Below are 23,343 nucleotides of genomic sequence, written 5' to 3'. Positions count from 1 at the left end.
GCACCTGGAGTGATCCCTGGAAGGCTCCAAACCCTTCAGGGACTTTACACATCATGGACAATAAAAGCCAGAGATATTCCAGTGCCCCACAAGGCCACACGCAGCCTGAACATCTATTACCTGTCTGTCCATAATTCCTACTCTTCTAGCTCTCACTGCCTCTGCTCCAACCACTTGGCGTTTCCTTGAACACATCAGGCACAGTCTTGCTGTACGGCCTTTGCACAAACTAAGCCCTCCATCTGAATGACTCTCTCCAAAATAGCTGCCAGGCTAACTCCAACATCTTTCTCAGCTATTGCTTTCCAATGAGGGCTACTCTGACCATGCTACTGTAAAGTGCAATCCAACCCACCATGCCCAGCACTGTGGATCCCTCTTGTCTTGCTATATTTTTCCACGGCATTTGTTGCCTTCCAACGTATCATATATTTTATTATGTGATGTTTGGTGTCGCCCTTTTGTCATCCTGTGAAAATACTACCCTCACAGGGCCAAGATTCTTGACTCTTTCATTCACTAACAAATTTTAAGAACACATAACAGTGTCTGGCTCACAGTTAGTGCTCTATAAATTTTTGCTGAATGAATGAATAAGGGTAATGTGTATAGCAGAATAATGTAGGTATAACTAGGTAAGCGATGAGTACATGGTAGCAATTATTATAAAAGGATTCGACTATAAATTATCACTGGACTCAAAACGGGAGTCCTAGTACAAAAGACACGTACTTGACATCACTAAAACATTGCATACCCACATGATGCCCTCTCTCCACAAAACTGATCCCTGCTGAGCAGTAACTATTAACCACCCACTGCCTAGTAAGTCCTTATGCTAAGCACCATGAATACAAGGGCAAGAGCAGGATTTTTGGTTGCACAGCTGGTGTTTCAGGCACCCATCCTGCCAGGGAACCTCACAGAAGTGCCCCGTGTCACCCGAGTACGCAGAACCCAAGCCCCCAAGCCATTTTCCCCATGCCATCCTAATGGCGCCCTCAGCCTTGATGGGAGAAGCCACGATGTTCCTGCCCACCACCTCTTAGTGGCGACAGGAACCTGCCCGCTCACTCACTGCATGCCCATTGGCTGGACAGTGGTAGAGGCAGGCCCTGACAAGCGCATGCCCAGAGGGAGGAGCCAGAGGGACACCTGCCAGCTCCTTGGGTGCCTGCGGTGTCCCTGGCTTTCCTGAGGGGGGCTCACTAACGGCTGGGTCCCGTCCCGCGGAGGCTGAGGAGAAGCAGGAGGCGAGTCCCTGAGGAGACGCCGTGACCTGAGGGCTTCCCTTACTGAGGAGGCCTCGTGCTTCATCTGTCACAAGCGGTGTCCAGGCCGGTGGTGACAACAGAGGCAATGCTCAGGCTTCTGAGACGTGCTTTGGCCTTCTTCCATAGTACAGCCCACCCCACAGAGCAGCAGCGCCCACAGCAGCAGGGCCCACAGCAGCAGGGCCCACAGCAGCAGGACCCACAGGAGCAGGGCCCACAGCAGCAGGACCCACAGGAGCAGGACCCACAGCAGCAGGACCCACAGCAGCAGGACCCACAGCAGCAGGACCCACAAGGAGCAGGGCCCACAGCAGCAGGGCCCACAGCAGCAGGACCCACAGGAGCAGGGCCCACAGGAGCAGGGCCCACAGGAGCAGGGCCCACAGCAGCAGGGGCTCCCAGAAGGTATTCCTCTGTGTGTTCCCTTGGCCCCCACCCCAGAAGCCTCCTAATAGGGGCTCTCCTCACCCCCGGTATGAGGATCTGGTGGCTCTGGCGGGTACAGCACGTGACGGCGGCTCCATCTTCTGTGCGTGCATGGGTAGGCGTCCTGCGTCCCCAACAAGTCCCTGAGAACCAACTCCCAAACTCTCCTGTCCATCTAAAGCGGGATGGTGTTGACAGAGACCACCTTGGGGGCTGTACCGCCTGTGGTTTTCCCCAACATGGATGTGCAGCACATGCCTATTTATATTTCCAGTAGGCAAGAAACTCCCTAATTGCGAGTGAATTTAGGCTTGTATCCCAAGCAGAAATTTAATTTGAAGCCAAGTGGATGCCTCATACATATCCGGTCCTGTAGGAGAGCAGAGAACCCGTTGTGCGGGCCAACTGCTGAGGTCAGATCCATAAATATTGCTGGTCAGCTAGGCTTGTGTAGAATTAAAAAGAGAGAGAGAGAGAGATAAAATGAAAAGGAGAAGGAGACCTTTTGGATGCCGTTTTGGGCTGGCCATCAATCTCCAGATATCTTTTAGTGCTTTGTCTGCTGAGATGGTTAAGTATCTATACAAGGTACTAGTCATTATGTTGGTGATAATGGTGGAGTGATATAGTAGGAGCAGAAGCTAAAAGACTCTCACATGTAGATATGGTGATAACAAGTAACATTTACACTCTCTTGTGCAAGACACTCCACAGCTCTCGACAGTTGATGTGCATGTGTCAGTTAATACAAGGCGGGCGCAGTGGCTCATGCCAGCTCTTTGGGAGTTCCAGGCGGGTGGATCACTTGAGTCCAGGAGTTTGAGACCAGCCTGAGATAACATAGTGAAACTCCGTCTCTACTAAAAACACAAAAATTAGCCGGGTGTGGCGGCATGCACCCGTCATCCCAGCTGCTCGGGAGGCTGAGACATGAGAACCACCTGAACCTGGGAGGCGGAGGTTGCTGAGAGCCGAGATCGCGCCACTGCACTCCAGCCTGGGTGACAGAGCCAGACTTTGCTCAAAAAATTAAAAATTACTTGAAAATTAAAAAATTTTTAAATTAAAAAAAAGAAAACTGCAACAACCCTATTAGGTGAAAATTTGATTGTTGTGGATTGACAGAAGAAAACAAAGTCAGAGACGTTAAAAAACTTCTCTGCCCAAGTTTATGCAGATGGTGAGTGTAAGACATATTTGTAGTAGATGTTTGCATTTGAGGCTAATAATGTGACTTTTGTTTCTTTATCTTGTAGGTGACACCCAGTTGACAACTGTGCAGGGAGTTGTCACAAGTTTCTGTGGTGATTATGGCGTGATTGATGAGTCGATCTACTTCAGTAGTGATGTTGTGACTGGCAACGTGCCTCTAAAAGTTGGACAAAAAGTTAATGTGGTTGTGGAAGAAGATAAAATACTTTATGGATTGAGAGCAATCAAGGTGAGATGTGCATGAGTCTGGGAATTGTGTCTTATCTCAATGGGTTTTCTTTCTCCATCTTTCTATTCTTGTATTAATGCAACATCTCTACTGTGATCCGTAGAGTGGATGTAGACTGCAATTTGAAGCCCCACCCCTCTGAAGCTGTAGGTTCTTGTGTTCTAATATTTGTAGTGATATCTGCTTTAAAACATAAAAATTACTCATCTATTATTCTAATCTTTAAACAACATGGGTAACAATAATAATTATTGAACTCTATACAATCCTTCAACTTCCCTTATCAGGTAAAAAACCATTTTCTGTAGTGTGCATTCATAGCAGTGGAATTGCTATGTGAAACCATGTGCCTTGTAAACATTTTAAAAAGAGCTTCATGGAGGTATAGTTCACAAACCACAGAACTCTCTTAAGGGTACAATTCAGTAACATTTGGCAGATTTACAGAGTCCTGAGAATATCACCTGAGTCCAGATATTTACCCATTCAGTGGCTATTATGAAATTATTCTTTAGGTCTACTGTACTAATTGATTCTCTCAGCAATAGGCAGTAAGACTGCCCATCTGCCCATATAGGCAAGGACAACAATATTATCAATCTGAAATCTTTGCAAATATGAGAAGGGAAAAGCAGTCTCATCATTCGTTTGGAATTATTAAGGATCTTAATGAGATTACAGCAAGTTTCCTTTCTTGGACTTATTATACAATAGGGATATTTATGGCTATCTCTATGGTAGGAACATTAGATTTGTAATAGGAAAGTTTGTATATGACGTCCTTGTGGCATTTCCTCCGATACCATCTTTTTTCTTTGCTTTATATCTTTCATTCTTTTACAGCCTTATTGAGATATAGGTCACGTGATTCACCATGCAATTCCCCCATCTACAGGGTACAATCCAGTGGTTTCTAGTTTGTTCACAGTGTTAGGCAACAATCACCACAAACAACTTTAGAACATTTTCATCACTCAAAAAGGAAGCTCCATAACCATTCATAGTCTTTTCCCATTTCTCCCTGATCCCCCAACTGTCCCCTCCCCCTGCAACATCCAGCCCTAGGAAATCACTTATCCATTTTCTGTTTATATATATTTGCCCATTCTGGACAGTTAAAAAAGGTTCCTTCTATATAACTGTAATGATATGTCCTTTCACCAACATCTCCTCATTCCTCCATCCACCCTAACAACCCAAGCATCTGGCAACCACCATTCTACTCTACACTGCTATGAGGTAAACTTTTTTTATATTATGCATGTGAATGAGACCATGCAGTTATTTGTGTTTATGTGACTGTCTTAGTTCACTTACATATCATTCTTCAGGTTCATCCATGTTGTCCCAAATGGCAAGATTTTATTCTGTTTTATGGCTGAATAGTATTCCATTGTGTATTTATACCACATTTCCTTTATCCACTCATCCGTAGATGGACACTTAAATTGCTTTTGTTTCTTGGCTGTTGTGAATAGGGCTGCAATAAACATGGAAGTGCTAACATCTCTTTGACACACTGATGACACTCTCTTTGGATACATGCTCAGTAGTTCATGGATTCATGTGATTCATGGATTCATGTGATAGTTCCATTGTTAATATTTTGGAGAACTTCCATACTGTTTTCCATAATGGCTGTAACAACTTACATCCCACCAACCGTGCATAAAGTTTCCAATTTCTCCACATCCTTGCCAATACTTGTTATCTCTTTTCTTTTTAATGTTAGCCATTTTAACATGTGTCAGGCAGTATCTCTGTGGTTTTGATTTGCATTGTCCTGATGACTAGAAAAGGTGAGCATTTTTTTAATATGCCTGTTGGCCATTTGTATGTCTCCTTTTGAAATATGTCTATTCAGGTCTTTTGCTCATCTTTAATAGGATTATTTGTTTTCTTGCTATGAGTTGTTGGAGTTACTCATACATTTTGGAAACTGACCCCTTACTAGATGTATAGATTGTCAGTGTTTTCTGCTATCCTGTAGATTGTCTCGCCACTCTTTGATCATTTCCTTTGCGGTACAGAAGCTTTTTAGTTCAAAGTAATCCTATTGTCTGTTTTTCCTTTTGTTGCCTTTGCTTTTGAGGTCCTATTTTTAAAATGTCATTGCCCAAAACAATGTCATGGAGCTTTCCCCCTATATCTCTATCTAGTAGTTTCATAGCTTTGGGTCTTCATTTTAAAGCTTTAAATCATTTTGAGTTGATTTATATACATGCTGAGAGATAAGGGTGGAAACTCATTTTACTCAGATGAATATCTAGTTATTTTCAACATCATTTATTGAAGAGAGTGTACTTTCTCAACATTGTGTGTTTTCGGGCCTTTTGTTGAATATCAGTTGACTGTAAATGCACGAATTTCATTCCGGGCTCTGTATTCTGCTCCATTCGTGGATGTACCCACTGGTACTATGCTGTTATGCTTACTATAGCTTTGTCATATGCTTTGACATCAAGTAGTGTGATGCCTCCAGCTTTGTTCTTTGTATTCCAGACTGCTTCGACTACCTGGAATCTTTTGCGGTTCCATACACATTTTAGGAGTGTTTCTTTTATTTCCAAGAAGAATGTCATTGGTATTTTCATAGCAGTTGCATTGAATCTATAGATTGCTTTAGGTTACGGACATTTTAACAATATTTATTCTTCCTGTCCACGAACACATGATACACTTCAATTCGTTCCTGCCTCCTTCAATTTGCTTCATTAATGGTTTATAGTTTTCGGCGTTGCAATCCTTCACCTCCTTCGTTAAATTTATTCCTATTTATTTTTTGAAGGTGTTTTAAATGGGATTGTTTCTTGATATCTTTTTCAGATAGTTCCCTATTGGTGTATAGAAATGCTACTGATTCCTGTGTGTTGGTTGTGTATCTTGCCACTTTCCTGAATTTGTTTATTAGACCTTGTAGGTTTTTCATGGTGTCTTCAGGGTTATTTATAAGTAAGAGCTTCCCGTCTTCAAACAGGGCCAATCTAAATTCTTCCTTTTGAATTTAGATGCCTTTTGTTTCTTCTTGCCTAGTTTCTCTGACTAGTACTTCCAGAACTATGTGCGATAGAAAGGGCAAAAGTGGGCATTTCTGTCTTGTTTTAGGTCTTAGAGGAAAAAAGACTGCAACATTTCCCCATTCAGTATGATGTTACCTGTGGGTTTATCATATATGACCTATATTGTGTTGAGGTGCACTCCTCCTATATCTAAGTTGTGGAGTTTTTATCACGAAGGGATATGGAATTCGGTTAAATGCTTTTCCTGCTTAAATTGGAATGATCCTATGGCTTTTGTGCTTCATTCTGTTCATGTGATATAGCACATTTATTGATTTGTGTATGTTGAAACTTTTTTGTATCCCAGGAATGAATACCTCTGGAACATGATGAATGGTGTTTTTAATGTGCTGTGGAATTTGGTTTACTAACACCTTCTTAAAGATTTTTGCAACTGTGTTCATCAGGAATTTTGGCATGTAGTTTTCTTTGCTTTTTTCTTTTTTGTGTTTCCTAGTCTGGGTTTTCTACCAGGGTAACGCGGGTGTGATAGAATGCATTTGGAAGCGTTCCTTTCTTATCATTTTTTTGGAATAGCATTAAAAGTATAACTATTAATTCTTCTTCTTTATATATAAATTTTGGTAGTATTACGAAGGGAAGCCATTCTGTCTTAGACTCTTCATCGATGGGAGATTTTTTATTACTGAATCACTTTCCTTACTTGTTAATGGTCTGTTCAGAATTTCCATTTCTTCATCATTACATCTTGGTAGGTTGCATGTGTCCAGGAATGTATCCATTTCTTCTAGCTTGTCCTGTTGTAGGTAGATGATTGTTCATAATAGTTCTTATGATGCGTTTTATTTTGGTGATGTCAGTTTTGGTTTCTCCTTTTTCAACTTTGCTTTTATTTATTTGAATTTTCTCCCCTTTTTCCTTTAGTCTAGCTAAGGTTTTGTTGATTTGGTTTACCTCTTCAAGAAACCAACTGATTGTTTCATTAATATTTGTATTGTTCTTCTCATGTCTATTTGATTTATTTCTGCTCTGCCCTTTATGATTTCTGTCCTCCTACTTTTGGATTGCATTTTTTTCTTCTTTTTTTTTCTAGTTCCTCAAAGTGTGGTGTGGGGTTGTTTATTTAAGATGTATCTTTTCTTTTGAGGTAGGCTTTATTGATGTAAACTTCACTTTTAGAATTGCTTTTGCTGTATTTCATGGGTTTTTGTATGTTGTGCCTGCAGTTTCCTTTATCTCAAGAAATGTTAACACTTCGCTTTTAATTTCCTCATTGACCCATTAGTTATTTAAGAGCATGTTGTTTAATTTCCATCCACTTCTAAAGTTTCCAAAGTTCCTAATTTTATTGATTTCTAATACTTTACCGTTGTGGTTAGAGAACTGATTTGATGTTATTTCAAATTCCTTTAATTTGCTAAGACCTGTTTTATGGCCTGCCCCATAATCTATCCTCGAGAATGTTCCACATGCAGTTGGAAAGAATATGTGTTTTGGAGTATTTGGATGGAATGTTCTGTAAATGACTGTTAGGTCCATTTGGTCCAGAGTGCAGATAAATCTCACTTTTTGTGGGGTCAGTGTTCTGTCTGGACAATCTACTCATTGTTGCAAGTTGGGTGTTGAAGTCCCCTACAGTTATTGCATTGCAATCTGTCTCACCATTTAGACCTTAATATTTGCTTCATATATTTAGGTGCTGCTATGTTGGATGCATATTTTTGGAAATCATTATATCCTCTTGATGAATTGATCCCTTCATCGTTATATAATGATCTTCTTGTTCTTTTTACCGTTTGTGATTTAAAGCCTATTTTATTTGAAATTAGTTTAGCTGCTCCCCTTCTCTTTTGGTTTCCCTTTACATGGAAGAATATCTTTTTTCATGCCTTCACTTTCAGTTTACGAATGTCCATTAAGGAGAAGTGGATCTCTCATAGGTTTGGTTGTTGTTGTTGTTGTTGTTGTTGTTGTTGTTTAAATACATTCAGCTACTCTGTGTATTTTAGTTGAATGTCATCCATTTCTATCAAGTTAATTATTGATAGGCAAGGATTTACTGTTGTCATTTAGATAATTTTTTCTACTTATTTTATAGGTAATTTCTTCCTTTCTCTTTTACTGTCTTTCTTGATGAATAAGAGATTTTTCTCTATTAATATGTTTTGTTTCCTTGATATTTTAAAATGTGTCAATTACATGATTTTTTTCTTTGTGGTTAGCATGAGGCGTACAAAAACATAATCACAACAGTTTATTTATTGATAATATAACTTTGATCACAAAACACAAACACTCTACCATTTAACTCCACCCCCAGATTGAGTTCTGTATTTTACACTTTACAACTTTTTATATTTTATATCCCTTAATGAATTATTGTACGTATTTTATTTTTACTAGTTCCTTTTTTAACTGTTACATGAAAGATATACATGATCTGGACACCACTGTTACCTTAATAGAGTATTGTGAATGTGTGTGGTTACTTTTACTAGTGAGTTTTATACCTTTAGATATTTTTGCATTACCCATTAGCGTCCCTTATGTCAGTTGGAAGAACTCTCCATAGGATTTCTTGTAAGACAGTTGTGGTGGTGAGGAAGTTTCTCAGCTGTGATTTCTCTGTAAAAGTCTTTTTCTGCCCTTCACTTCTTGGTACATTATTCTTGGTTAGTCATTTTTTTCCTTGATCTCCTTGAATGTATCATCACACTCTCTCCTGGCCTGTTATGCTTCTGCTGAGAAGTCTTCTGGCAGGCATATTGGAACTGCATTATATGTGATTTGCTTCTTTCCTCTTGCTGCTCTCAGGATTTTTTCTTTATTTTTCATCTTTGAGAGTTTGATTTTAATATGTCATGCGTAATCTTATTTGGATTGTATCTGAATGCAGAACTTTGGTCGTCCAGTACCTAGACGTTTATAACTTTCTCTGGGTTTGGATGGATCCCCATTATTAATTTTTAAATAATCTTTCTACCTCTTTTTCACTCCTCCCTCTTGAACATGAATGACTCATACTATTGCTCTGCTGATAATTGTCCCAGAAATTCAGTAAGTTTTATTTTCATTCCATATCCTTCCTTTTAATTTTGTCTCCTGTGACTGTATATTTTTAATGAAGCTGTCTCCAAGTTTACAGATTCTTCATTTTGCTCGACAATTTTCCTGTGGATGTTCTCTATTGTATACTTCCTTCATTGTATTTTTTGACTTTTGTATTTGTTTGGTTTTTTAAAATTCTTTCAATATTTCTTTCAATTTACTCTGATAAATTCTAATCATTTCTCTGTAGTTGTTTTCAAGGTTCACAGAGCATGTGGAAAATAGATATTTTGAATTATTTATTAAACAACTCAAACATTCCTATCTCTCTAGGGTCAATTACTGGCACCTTGTTTTGTCAGTTTGGTGATGTCATGTTTTCCTTATTGTTCTTGATCTTTGTGGTAATGTGTTTATATCTGCGTATTGAAGAAGTAGGTATCCATTTCAGTCTTTGCAGTCTAGCTTTTAGGGGACATCCTTTAGCAGTAAGCCTGTCCGGAAACTCTATATAGGTCTCTTTTGGTCCTTATGCTTATGAACACTACAGCTATTGAAGCACTAGGGGGCCTCCTAATCCCAGGGACACAGCGACAGATGCTGCAATGGCATGCATTCCCTTAGCTGTTGAGACTGGTGCCTTGCAAGACTGGAATCCAAGGCTCCACTCATTCACAGAGGACTCCCTGTTGCTGTAGAATATTCTGAGCATAAGGCCACTGGAATCACTCGGCAGAGATGTGGGACAGGTATTGAGTTTGTTTTGCTGTGGCTGTGGCTTCCTGTCTGTTGCCAGGGTGGGTCTAGAGACTCGGTCCACAAGTACCATCTCAGAGTCTGGGGCCATGGGCCATGGGCGTTTGTCAAGTGGTGGCATATAGTGTGGAAGGCCTGATATTGGGTTCCCAGGCAATGTCCTATGCTTGCTACTCTCTCTGTCCTCCGGGTGGATGGTATCTCTCTCCATGCTGTGCTGTTGAAAGTCGGGGAAGGAGTGATGTGGGTAATGTAAAACTGTCTTTACTACCCTCTTCAATGCATCTTTTCTTATTTTCATGCTATAACTGGGTACTGCGGTCTCTCACCTGGTTTCCTTCTCTCAAGTGATGGTATTTTCATACAAGGATAGTTTTTCACATTGATGTTTCTGCAGGAGGACAATCACTGGAGAGTCCCATTTCTCCATCTTGCTCCCCTCCTCCTCCATCTGTTTAATTTTTACATACTATAAATATGTCCATCTTGTCCATGTGGCTTCTGGGTTCAGGAAGTTTCCTTAGGCTAATTCTAACACATAATTTACACGAGTATTCACTTAGTTTTTCTTCTGAAAGTCATTCATTTATTTATATCTAAACGTACAGTCAGCCTGTGTTTACTTTCCATGTATAAGACTGAGAGAAGGATCCGCGTCTTGTTTCACTACTGGCTATTCAGTTGCCCTAAACGTTAATTGTATAATCCACTTTGCCCCTATCGTATTGAAATGCCACTTCTGTCATACAACGCATTATTGCAAACATTTCAATCTGTCCGTACCTGCTGTTGTGTTGGTGGTATTTCCAAGGCATAAGAAACAGAGTTGGGAGCCATGAAACATGGGCAAAGCTTTAGTCTGCATATGTCTGTGAGTTGGCGTGGAGTCAAGGAACAGAGAGGTCCGAGGGTGCTGTGGATCATCCACTGGGATACTGACGGAAGTGGTGGTAGACACATGGATGGGAGGCTAATGCCTCATTCCTTCATGACAGTAAGTGAGGGGAAAATAAACATCAGATTGGTATTGACAGCTGGAAAGACACCAGTTAAGAAATGAGAATAGCAGCAAACTAGGCTATTTTTAAAACCATGAAAAATTATTTACAACTCAGTGGCTCAAGTTTCCATCAGAAGTCTTTGATCTGCAAATTCCAACCCTAGGAGTTTATCCTATAGTTAAGTCAAGCAAGTAGTACAAATTTTAAGACAAAAGCGAAATGTCTAATTACGTGGAATTGGGTTAGTAAATTACGGCACATCCATTAATTGGGATTCTCTATGAGTGTTTCTGTCCTCTCTTGTTATTTGAAAAACTTTGTGTTCATTTAATGTGATACTTTACTACTGAATACCATGCTAATTTGCTTTTAAAATGAGTATTTACATATGTATATATATTTGTGCACAGACAAAAACATCAGGATGAGTGTTACTGAGAAAATGTAGTCCCTGGTGGTCTCTTGGTAATGGAATATGGATTATGGTGTAACCGCCTTTTGCTGTCTGCATATCTGTTTTTTTTTTCCCCTACTTTTAGTACAATGAACTTGCATTATTTCTGTAAGTTTTAAGGATTATAAAATAAGGACTATTACACTTCCAATAAGGAAAAAGGTTTGTATGCCTCTCTATTGTAGATAAAGTAAAGCCCTAATTTGACTTGGTTTATTGAACCTCCCCCAGTTGAGGTTATTGTTCCAACTTTAACTTGAACTTCTGTCTCCTAGACCTGGATCTGGAATGTTAGGGTTTTGCTCCCTAGGCTTCTAAATTGTGTTGTTTTTCCTCTCTGCCTTCCTGCTCCTCTACTCGTGTTTACAAGTTTACACCTCTGCCTTCTTTCACAACCCAGCACAAATCTGACTTCCCCCAAGCAATGCCGCTATTTTCTCCCTGTCTGAAATGTTCTCCGTTTAGGTAAGTCACAGAAACTATCTTTAAACTAGTCTTATATCATTCATCACAACCTGCTAAGACTACATATCTTTCCATTTTACCGTCATTTCACTGTGAATTCCTTTAGGTGAATGACGGTATTTTTTAAATCTGGGAATCTAATGGTACAAGGGCATTAAACTTGGGTATGCAATTAATGTTTTGGGATACATTTCACAATTCATGAAGCACACACATGATTTCTACCATCATCTCAAGTCTATGGTCCATTTAGCACGTGAACTATATTCACCAGTGTTAAGGATGGTTTTTGAAAATATTTTGGAATACCAGTGTTTTAACCATGTAAGTTCCTGTGTTTAAATTTGTATTATTTTTGAAGTAACTCTTTCCTAAATCTTACAGGTGGATGTTGTGCCTCACCCTCTTAACGATGATGGACCCTCAGACTCAAAAATCAGAGTTTTAAATGGATGTGTTACTTCTATAAGTGAAGATACTGTTTATATTAGTAACATCATTTATTTCCCTATGGACATTGTTTCTGAAGGTATGACTTACATTTTGTGATATATGATGTAATTCTTAATTTTTTGAGTGGATTTTAGTCCTAGAACAAATTTTACAGTGTACTTGGCTTCAGCCAATGGCTCTTCAATATTACAGGTAGACCTTTCCAATTGAAATTATGTACAATATAGGGGCAAATAGGAAGTATTTTAAAATGTCTGCTGTCGTCTATTGTGCGTTCATTTGTTCAATGCCCTCAGTAATGCCTGGATATATTTTTCATTCACATAAGAATTTAGTTTCTAATCATGGAAACAATCCTACAAGTACACAGAGACACTATTTTTAATACCCTTCAAAGACTATACTTGCAGGGATCATTTCTGTAGTTGGTTACTAGAGAAGTTTCTGTGACAGGGCACAGTACCAAATTTTAAAAGAATGCACTTCAAATCTTCAAAGTTAGGATTGGAGATAGTGCTTTGTGGCTGTGTGTGTGTGTGTGTGTGTGTGTGTGTGTGTTGTGGAATTCTGTTTGTAATCAGCCGATATGTTCTAATATTTCGCTTATAACCAAAGATACACTTTTTTTTTTTGCTATTTTTGTCCATTGCAACAGTCATATAGCTTGGGTATGAAAGGGGAGATTAGCTCCACTTCCCCAGGCAGCTTGCTAGTTTGTTTCCTTGGATGCAAAAACAGGACCCTGACCTGAATTTTGTTTTCAGATGTTGACTCTATCTGCTTTGTCGAGAAGAGACTATGAGGGAAGGGTGGAGTCAGGAAATTGGTCAGGAAACCGTTGTAATATTCCTGGTGAGAGATGATGGAGATGTGAATGAAAGTGGAGAAGTGGAGGACCTGAGGATTGAGTTGACTCTGGATATATTTTGAAGTTAGAGAAGAACCCAGGAGGTAATGGATTAGATCTTTGATGTGGAGGAAAGATGAGTCCAAGGTACCTCCAAAGTTTTTGGTTTGAGCAGTGGTGAGAGTGGAGTTGCCAGTTTGTGATGCAGACGACTGAGGCAAACAAAAGTTGGTGAATATGAAGAATACCAACAACTCAGCTTTGCACACATTAGATTGGTGTAAGCATATGGATAATTGACCCTGAGGTTGGTTAGAGCTGGAGGCATATACATTTTGGAGTTATTGGCCCATAGATATACAGTAAACGCACACAAAAGAAATGTATGCAAATTAACAGAGACAGACAGAGAGACAGAAGTCTAACACTGTGTCTTGTATCAGTCTACAATGCTGGGTCCTAAGGTGAATAAATATTTCACTTTGTTGATATTGCTAGTTTTCTGGAGTCACTGTGGCAATTTACGGTCTCAGTTGCAGTTGGGATTTCCATTTGCTCCAGATTCTTTCACGTACATTTGTTATCCTGTGAGTCACTTTTAACTTATCGTAAACTTCTGTTTCAACCTCGATGGTCTTAACGGTAACCCTTAAGGCACAGACTTAAGACACCGCATGTTCTCACTCATAGGTGGGAATTGAACAATGAGAACACTTGGACACAGTAAGGGGAACATCACACACCCGGGCCTGTTGTGGGGTGGGGGGAGTGGGGAGGGAAAGCATTAGGAGATATACCCAATGTAAATGACGAGTTAATGGGTGCAGCACATCAACATGGCACATGTACACATATGTAACAAACCTGCACGTTGTGCACATGTACCCTAGAACTTAAAGTATAATAATAATAATAATAATAATAATAATAATAATAAAAAGAGTTCATCAGCGGAACACAACACTAGGGGAAATTGATTCATTCTGAAAGTAACAACATTTCCTAGTGGTACTGCTACCACTACTACCAATCAACAGTTATTTGGTGGTTACTATGCACCAGTGATGATTCTGTGTGTATCAACGATATCTATTAAGTGTCACAGCAGCTCAGTATCTTGAAGGCTACTTATCGTGCTTCTCATTTTATAAATGAAGAAAACGAGGCACAGAGAGATTAAACATCTTGGCTAAGGTTACAAACTGAGTGAGTGGCAGTGTCAAGATTCAAATGCACATGGCCAGGTTCAAACTTGTGCTCTTACCTACATGTTTGACTGCCTCTCACTAAGGAGTTGTGAACACGAACAGTTGTTTAGTAAATCCTGTGCTGTTCCCTCAGATTGGCTGTGATGCACAGTTCACACTTTGCTCCATTTGACTTTGTTAAATCAGTAGAGGAGAGTCAATGCCTAAGGATTATAAACTTCTTCTTGAACTTACCGATTTACAGTGTGTCTGTTTAAATATGTGCAAAAATGACTTTAGGTGTTGCAGAACTGACTTTAAAGTAGTACACTATCAAATAACGTGTGCAATTCAAGATGACCTAGTTAAGAGATCATGACACTCACATTTCTCCATGGCTGTTTTAGATTTTGTGCCTTATAAGGGCAACTGGTTAAAAGTTGAATATTCCACTGAACCAGGCTTCTTAAACTTCAAGGCAAGCTCTGTGAAGCCCACTCGTTGTATTCATGCGGAAGCGGTAATTTCTTTCCTGTTGCTCCCATCATCGGTTTCTGTGAACCCTTCCTTTCGTGATAATTTTCGTGCCCAGGATTCTGTTGGGTGTAATGGGAATTCCAGAAAATATGAAGAAATACATTCTTTGCCAACAAAGGAGCCACTTTTCTTACTGAAAAGGCAGGACTTCCCAAAGGAAATAATTAGAAAATTATGTAGAACAAGCATATTAATCGATTAAGTTCTAAATTGTGCATTTTACTCAATACCCAAATTTTATTAGAATCTTCCAACAACAGGAGGAAGAAAAACAATCTTTGTGTCAGAAAATTGTAGGGAAAGAATGAACGGAGTGCGTTGTGGGACTTGAGCTTAACAGTAAATGTTGAGAATGATTTGGGTATTGGAGCCTGAACATGACCAGCAAATTCAGGGCAATAGAGGGTAATGGACATATTTTGGTAATATTTAGAGCTGGATTTCTCATCAAAGACCCATGCCTCATCCCTGGAGAGCCTGTTTTAATTGGTCTGTGGTGGAGTGTGGACATGGGTATTCTTACAAAGCACCCCTGGTGTTAGCAATGGGCCAACCAGGTTGGAAATCAATGATTTGCATTGAAGTGACCTGCACTCATGCAGGACCCAGAGTGAGGAGGTGCAAAGCTGGTTACAGTGATTATCGGGCTTTCTCATAATCATTTCCATTATTTATACTCACAGGTCCGCATTACTCACATACGTGGAAGAAGTGGGGTGATAAAGAATACTATCTTTTTCACCTTGGATTCTGTGAAACTTCCTGATGGATACGTACCTCAAGTAGATGATATCGTCAATGTGGTCATGGTGGAGAGCATTCAGTTCTGCTTTAAGTGGAGAGCGGTTTCTATCACCCCAGTACAAAAATCATGACAAAACATTTTTATTCTGTTTATATTTCCTTTTAAGAGCAGTAAAGGGGCTGGTTTAACTGAAAAGGTTAGCTTAGTAAGCCTAAATACTATTTTACATATGACTTTTCTGGCAAATCTAATTGAGATACTGGCTAGTTCAATTGGACCATGAACCCAGCTTAGGGAAGTGCCTTATCAATTAAAAGCATGCTAAATTAGCTTGCTAGTAGTCACTGGAGGAAAGGAGTTCTTAATTAAAATGAACACTGCCATTAAATTTGAATTCCATATTTCCTATTAGCAGCAGCAGATTCCAGGATGACAGAGGCCTAGGACGGCCCTAAAGGGAACATCAGAGCCAAAGTATTTAACAGAAAAGGCATCAGGGACAGCATGTTAAAGGCATGATTTAAAGTTACACTTCAGCTTTGAGTCCCCCTTATGCTGTCTGTACAACCTGTATTGTTCCATAGCCTCTTTCATCTTCTGTCATTCACATAATTTGCAATGTTTATTATTCCTTATGTTCCTTCTTCTCCATGCTAGAATGTAAACTCCACAATGGCAGGATGTCTTTTGGTCGGTTTTGTTTTTCTTTCTTTTTTTTTTCTTTCATTAAAGCATCACCAGCACTTAGAGGAAGGCGTGACAGACTCACTGAGCAGATAAAATGTTATTAAGTTCAATGACTGAATGATTGGGCCAGCAATGATATTTAGCTGTGGTTCATTCATCACTGGTTCCTTAGGAATAAAATTGTTGAGCAATGCACTAAGACCTCTGTTGATTTTTTTAACAACACCAACAACCATAGAAAGCAGACTCTGCTGTAAATGGGCCTCCATGAGCCACTTTGTTGCGGGGGTGCAGCTCATGTGCAGTCATGAAGAAACATACAAACACAGAGCTTTTGAAGGAAGGACAAGCTGCTTACCCGCTGGGAAGGGTTATAATAAAATCCAACAAGTACATCCCATGAAATTTCATGTTTTTGTCTAACAGAACATTTAACCATGTAGCTGTGACCTAGGGGAAGGGATGTATTCAGACCTATGAGTGTAGCTTGAATGTGGTTGGGAACTTACCCTGACTCCTCTGATTCATAATTCCACCATTACCCCCAGTCCTTGAATAAACAGGGTTGTGTTTTGACTTTCCACTACAGATCCAGTGAGACCTCCCAATCATCCAGGGATTTGTTTCCCGCTTGATAGGAACAGTGAAGGTATTATAGAGTTCCCATTTTCACTCATTGGTTCACTCTACAAAATCCTACTGACTCTCTTTGATGTGCCAGGCACTGTTGAACCTCTAGAGTTATACCCTTAACCAAAAGGACAAAATTCCAGGCCCTAATGGAACTTGTGTTCTTTCAATGCCCCCACCCCCCAACCATCCTCGGCTTCCTGACCCATGCAGCAGTAGCTCCTATGATTGAAAGGGGCAAGTGGGAGCTGTGGCAATACCAGGTCCCTGTGAATGTCGTCATTCAAAAGCAGCCCCACACCCTGTGGAATTACAGAGCAGTCCACGTTGGACTTGAGAGATGCAAGGGTCATGACTTTCACTACCTCCCCATTTAATTCTCCAGTTTGGTTGATGTAGAAGAATGTTATTTGGGAGCTATAATGCATTATGATAAGCCCAATCAGCTGGTGATTCAGTCACAGCTGCTGTTTCACAAACTTCCTCACTGGACTGAGGATCACCTGGGAGGCGGCAGTTCAGCTGGGCAGGGGGGCAGGGATTGGATACATTTCCTCTACCTTCTTTCAAATAGTAAAGCCCAGAACCACTTTGCTTTCATAAGGCAGACCAAGTGGCGGTATTTTTTGAATATTTTGCCTCAAGGATGTGTTAACTCCAAGGTTCTTTCCCACAGTTGAGAATGAATTGTGTTTGATCATCTCACCCTCATCACATCTGTGTCCCTAAATGTACGCCCTCACGGCACAAGGACAGAAGGGCCCAGGGAGCAGGAAATAGTGGACTCTGTCAGAAATGTGCTTTTCCCACGTGGGAAAGAATTGGCTTGAAAATACAGGGACCTGTCACCACGAGTTTCTGGGGCGCCAGTGTTCTGCCACGGAGCTTCCAACTGGCCCCACGCCATGAAGGCGTTGCAGATGTGCTGATATCAGATGCCTCTCAACTCATTTAGTGATACATGCAATGAAGAACATGAAATAAGATAATGATCTTTAGCCGGGTTTGGCAAACTATGGCCCTTCTGCCATTTCTGGCCTGAGGCCAGCAATGGTTCTCAAAACATAAAGTTATACTTAGGTACCCGGAGCTTAATCATGGCCCAATAGATTGAACCTAGTGTTCTCGTTGTCATGATTATGCATACTGTTAATCAGAGGGGTACATTGAAGCCTCTCATCGTGATTGTGGTTTCATCCTCTAACCACTTGTAGCTTTCAGAGGTTCTAGTTCATCATTTCACTCCTCTTGTGAGACGCATAAATCTTTAACTGTACATCTGCCAAAGGGATATACTCTGTGAATGTAAACAACTCCTCTTTGTTATGCTTAGGGTGTAGTTCTCTGTTTTGTCAAAATTTCAAATTCTACTTAATCAGCACCATTTACAAGGATCCCTGTTCCCTTGGTGTTGGAGAATACGATGTTTTGAATTGAAGTTCTTATATCTATTGGCAAACTTGAGGTTGCAAGTACACCTCCATTACCAGCCCAGGAATACAGAGTTTATTCTATGTTTTCTTCCCTTTCCACCTTTCCACGTGTATTGTTTCCTTCTCAGCTTTGGAGAACCCTACCTTCCATTATCCTCTGTGTATTTACTTCTTTGCACAATCCTGCTATATATGCTCTCCTACTGTGGACAGCCTTCCATCTGTTCTCTAACTCCCTCTTCTCATGCACCCTGGCTTGCAGGAGGCCTCCTTGGAACTGTTTTTTGGCAGGCTCCATGCCTGCCTTCCTAAACTTGGGTGCCCTGCTCTACAGGGATGGGAGGGCTAGATAAAAAGGCTCTCTGTTGCCTTTGGAACTCCTCACAGAACTGGTTTTTAGTCACCACTTCATTGTAATAGTCACCTAGGACAGCCTGGGTTAAGGGCTTCATGAGATTCTTTCCAGAGCTGCTGGCCTGGCCAGAAGAGTGAAGTGTTGGGGTTGGTTAAGGGCTATCAGTCTAAACATCCACAACTTAGGACTCAGATTAGTTAGCATTCTTGTTGGTCTCATAAGGTGGAGGAAGAGAGTTCACCCTGCTGGGGCAACGTCATCCTACAGTGGTTTCACTTCCTAAGAGCATTGCCCCAGTTGACCCTAAATGATGTGGATTAGAAACTTCATTCCCCCAATCCTATGGATAGTTGAAGGCCTATTGTATATACCAAAGATGAGAAGCATAACCTTATTATTGAAGTTCCATTGAAAGGAAACAAAATGTGGTTGGGCATGGTGGCTCATGCCTGTAATTTCAGCATTTTGGGATGCCGAGGCGGGCAGATCACCTGAGATCAGGAGTTTGAGACCAGCCTGGCCAACATGATGAAACCTCATCTCTACTAAAAATACAAAAAAAAATTAGGTGGTCGTGGTGTCGGGTGCCTGTAGTCCCAGCTACTCGGGGTGGCTGAGGCAGGAGACTCCTTTGAACCCAGGAGGCTGAGGTTGCAGTGAGCCAAGATCATGCCAATGCAGTCAAGCCTGGGCGACAGAGGGAGACTCCACCTAAAAAAAGAAAAAAGAAAAAAGACAAAGAAAGAAAAAGAAAGGAAACAAAAGGTACAAGTTATTTTGATAGTATAATGAACATACCTCACAGTGGTTAGGGGCACTGAACATCTGTGTTCCCCTAAAATTCCTTTGTTGAAGCTGTAATCCCCAATGTGATCTATATGGAGATGGGGCCTTTGGGATGCTATTAGGCTTAGATGGGATCATGAGAGTAGAGCTCCATAATGGAATTAGTATCCTTAGAAGAAGAGGAAGAGAAGCCACTGTTTGCTCCCACTCCTCCATGGGAGGAAACAGCCAGAATTTGACAATCTTTGAGCCAGAAAGAGGGCCCTTGCCCCGAACCGAATCAGTCAGCACCTTATTCTTGGACCTGCCAGCGTCCAGAACTGTGCAATATAAATGTCTGTGGTATATTGTTATAGCCGACAAAGCTAAGACAACGGAGAGCTGACATTGACATTCTGTAACAAATAAAAGCAATCCAAACACTTATTGTGTTTTGAAAAACAAAGATATGAATTGGAAAAACTCCCATCACATGAGGAAACCAAAATTCCCATCGATGGGAATTGTCCCTATCCATTAAATCATAATGAATAATATACTTATTGATACATGTCATTTAAAGCCTTGTCACTCTATTCTTATAGAAATATTTGTCTAAACACTAGTCCAACACTTATTTCCAGTGTAGCTTTTGTAATGAAAGGAGTAACATTTTACTCCATGGTGCAACTCATGTGCACGAGGGAGGCTGGATCACTGATCTGCAAGAAAACTCAATTTATTGGCTGATTTTACTTACAAGTTGCTGCTGTGTCAGACCCTGAGGACAGGTTGCAAAGCCAGGAAACAGCTGAGTTGAGCTGGGATCTAACGTCTTCCGAACCACAGTTCTGACGTTTACAGCCAGCTGTAACATTATTCTGAATGAGGCCCAGTACTGTTTAGATAGATGCACAAAGGAAAGCAAAGTATTCAGATTTGGTGTGAATTGCCTTAGAACCAGATCCTTTCTCAGGTTGCTGGAATGGTTCAGGATGTTACCCTTTTCTGATTCAATTAATTGCTGTGGTATTTATTGAGAACCTACCGTGTGCCCAGCACTGTTCTAGATGCTGAAGGCCCAGCAGATGGAAAAAGCAACCACGAACAAAAGCTCTGCAGTCATGAAGCTGACATACAAGTGGGAAGAGACCGACAATAAATACTCTGATAAGCATATGAATAAGTAAGAATTTCCGTCTAGCAGTTAGTGACAGAAAGAAAAGTAAGCAGGTGTTTGTGATAAGAGGTTTTTGAGGGCAGTGACCACGGACAGATGGTTTTCAATATTTTCAGTCGGAGTCAGTTTCCCTGATTTGAGAGTGAAACATGCAGGTCACTAGAAGCCAAGAAGGCGAATCACATGGTTATATCTTTGCTGGAATCTGGCACTGAATGATTGCTTCATGGATACTTGTGAAGGTGTGCATTTTGTTCATGGGAGACAGTTAAAATGTGAGAAGGTTTAATGGGGTGCATGGCATCCTTGTTCAGAATTGCTGTTAATCTACTTTGTGTCCAGCCCTTGTATATGCCAAGCACTGGGCTAAGGGCCTTGGGACACACACGTCATTTAATGCTCACAAAGAATCCTATGAAAGAAGTCCCAGTAGCGTCGTGTCCATTCAACAGCCAAGTCAGGGACACAAACAGGAAAGAGGGGGCGCACAGCTGCTCTGTGGCCCAGTGGAATTCATCCCCTGGCATTCAGGTCCAGCAGCCATTTCTTATCTGATGTGTTCCGGGCCTCTGGAGGCACCTCCTACCACAAAGATCATTCACAGTGTTTCCAGCAGGTTGGTATAGAAGAGCCCCTTCTTTGTTCTGCAGTATTCTCTCAGCAGGGACCTGTCTTCCTGGTGCTGGAATCTACCTGTAGCTTCTCTGCCAACAGAGTTTGAACCCTGCAGAGGAGGCTGAGTCTGACTTAGTGAAGTTTGCCAGAGAAGGCTATTTCTTACCTCTTTCTAAGGCGATTTCTTAGCACCAATCTCTTGCTGCAGCATCCGTTATTAGCTCTATTTGTGCCAGCAGGGACACATGAAAGGGTTTTGGGCATGTTTTCATATGTCTGAGTGGCTGCTGTCTCTTCGGTTCTTTCTGCTTTCTTCTGTGCCATGATGGAAACTAAAACATTTGACCCAGTGATGTTTTTTTTCAATCATTCTTTAGAGGTGGTGAGACTACAGGTATGTTTTCAAAGGATTGATAGTTTTTGCTGATGGATGGCATGGAGTGTGTAAAGAAAATGGAGAAAACTAAGGGTTATGGCAGGGATATGATGTTAACCCACTGTGTGAACTGAGCTGACATCGTGTGAGATGGAGAAGATTTATGGAGGTGAAGGGGTTGAAGGAAGCTCAGGACATATGAAATTTTGGACACCTTACCCTTGAGTCGTCTATGGGATAATCACGTGTGTAACTCAGTATACATATGGAATTGGGAGTACGTGCACTTAGATGCCATGGGGCTGGTGTGTGGATAGAGAGGCCATTCAGGGTCTGAGTCCTGGAGCACTCTTGTGCAATCCTGATAGGAGGAACTTCTCACAAAAGAGGCTGAGAAGGAGTCTTTCTAGGAGAGAGTGGTCACACAGAAGACCAAAGAACTTATTTCAAGAAATGGGGAGTCCTCACCTGCGTCAAACACTGAGAGGTTGAGTGATGAGAGCTTAGCATATTGACCACTGGATTTGGAGACCTGGAGGTTTCCTGTCATCTTAAGAGCAAATTAGGGGCATGATGTGGGTAAAAGCCTAATGCCAGAGGAATAAGGAGAGAATGGGAGCTCAGGAAGTGAGCAGAGGTGATTCTTGAAATAGCATTTGCTGTGGGGGACAGGATGCAGAAGAATGGGACTGAAGGGGAAATGAGGCCAAGGAAGCTTATTTATCTATGTACATTTTTAAGATGGGAGTTATTTGTGAAGTTTTTAAGATGGGTGATTCTTGTGTATGTTTGTATGTTATTCCTTTGCAGGCAAAGATTAAAAAAAAAAAAGATTGTTGATGCAGGATGAAGAGAGGCAACAGCAATAGAAGCAACATCCTCAGAGAAAATGTGTCAAGAGAATGGTTCCATGTGCTCAGTGGAGTTTCAGCCCTGGCCAGGGGCTGCGATGTCCTTCCATTGTTACAAAAGAGAAGGAAGAGAAAGCCAGGATGGGTGCCAGGAGTTTCACAGAGGGGCTCCTGTTTCATGGCCTGTGTTTTCTCAGAGAAATAAGAGGAAATGTGTGCTTACCTGTGTGTCCTAATTTTTCATTGATAATCATAGAATATTGGAGTAATCAAAATTTACAAGAGCAGTTGCTGTGGGTTGAATTTTGCCCTGAAAGAGATATGCTCAGGTTCTGAGCTCCAGTACCTGTGAATGTGACTTTATTTTGAATAGGGTCTTTGCAAAAAAAAAAAAAAAAAAATCAAGTTAAGATGAGGTCCTACAGGATTGGGATTAGTCATATACCCTTAATCCAGTGAGTGGTGTCCTTATAAGAAGAGGTGTATTGGACACACAGACAGATGGAGAAGAGCACCATGATATGAAGGAGGAAGAGATTGGAGTGATGCATCTACAACCGAAGGAAGCCAACCGATGACTACTGGCAACCTACGGAATCTTGGAATAAACTCTCCCTCAGAGCTTGCCAGAAAGAACCAACCTCACGGAAACCTTGATTTCAGACTCATAGCCTGCAGAACTGCAGAAGAATAAATTTCTGTTGTTTAAAGCCACGCAGTCGTAGTAATGTGTTGTGGCCTCCCTAGGAAATTAACACAGTTGTGTTACATTTTGAGACATAGATAGCCCTCAACCG

At 40.9% G+C, this 23,343-nt stretch overlaps 2 pseudogenes; both read left to right on the top strand.

Moving 5' to 3' along the window:
* LOC728470 (cancer/testis antigen 55 pseudogene) lies at positions 706–16,540 on the top strand (annotated as a pseudogene).
* Positions 12,733–12,849, top strand: LOC124905295 (uncharacterized; annotated as a pseudogene).

The sequence above is a fragment of the Homo sapiens genome, chromosome X (genome assembly GCF_000001405.40).
Source record: "Homo sapiens chromosome X, GRCh38.p14 Primary Assembly".
NCBI classification, from domain to species: domain Eukaryota; kingdom Metazoa; phylum Chordata; class Mammalia; order Primates; family Hominidae; genus Homo; species Homo sapiens.
This window is presented reverse-complemented; position numbering and strand designations above follow the sequence as displayed.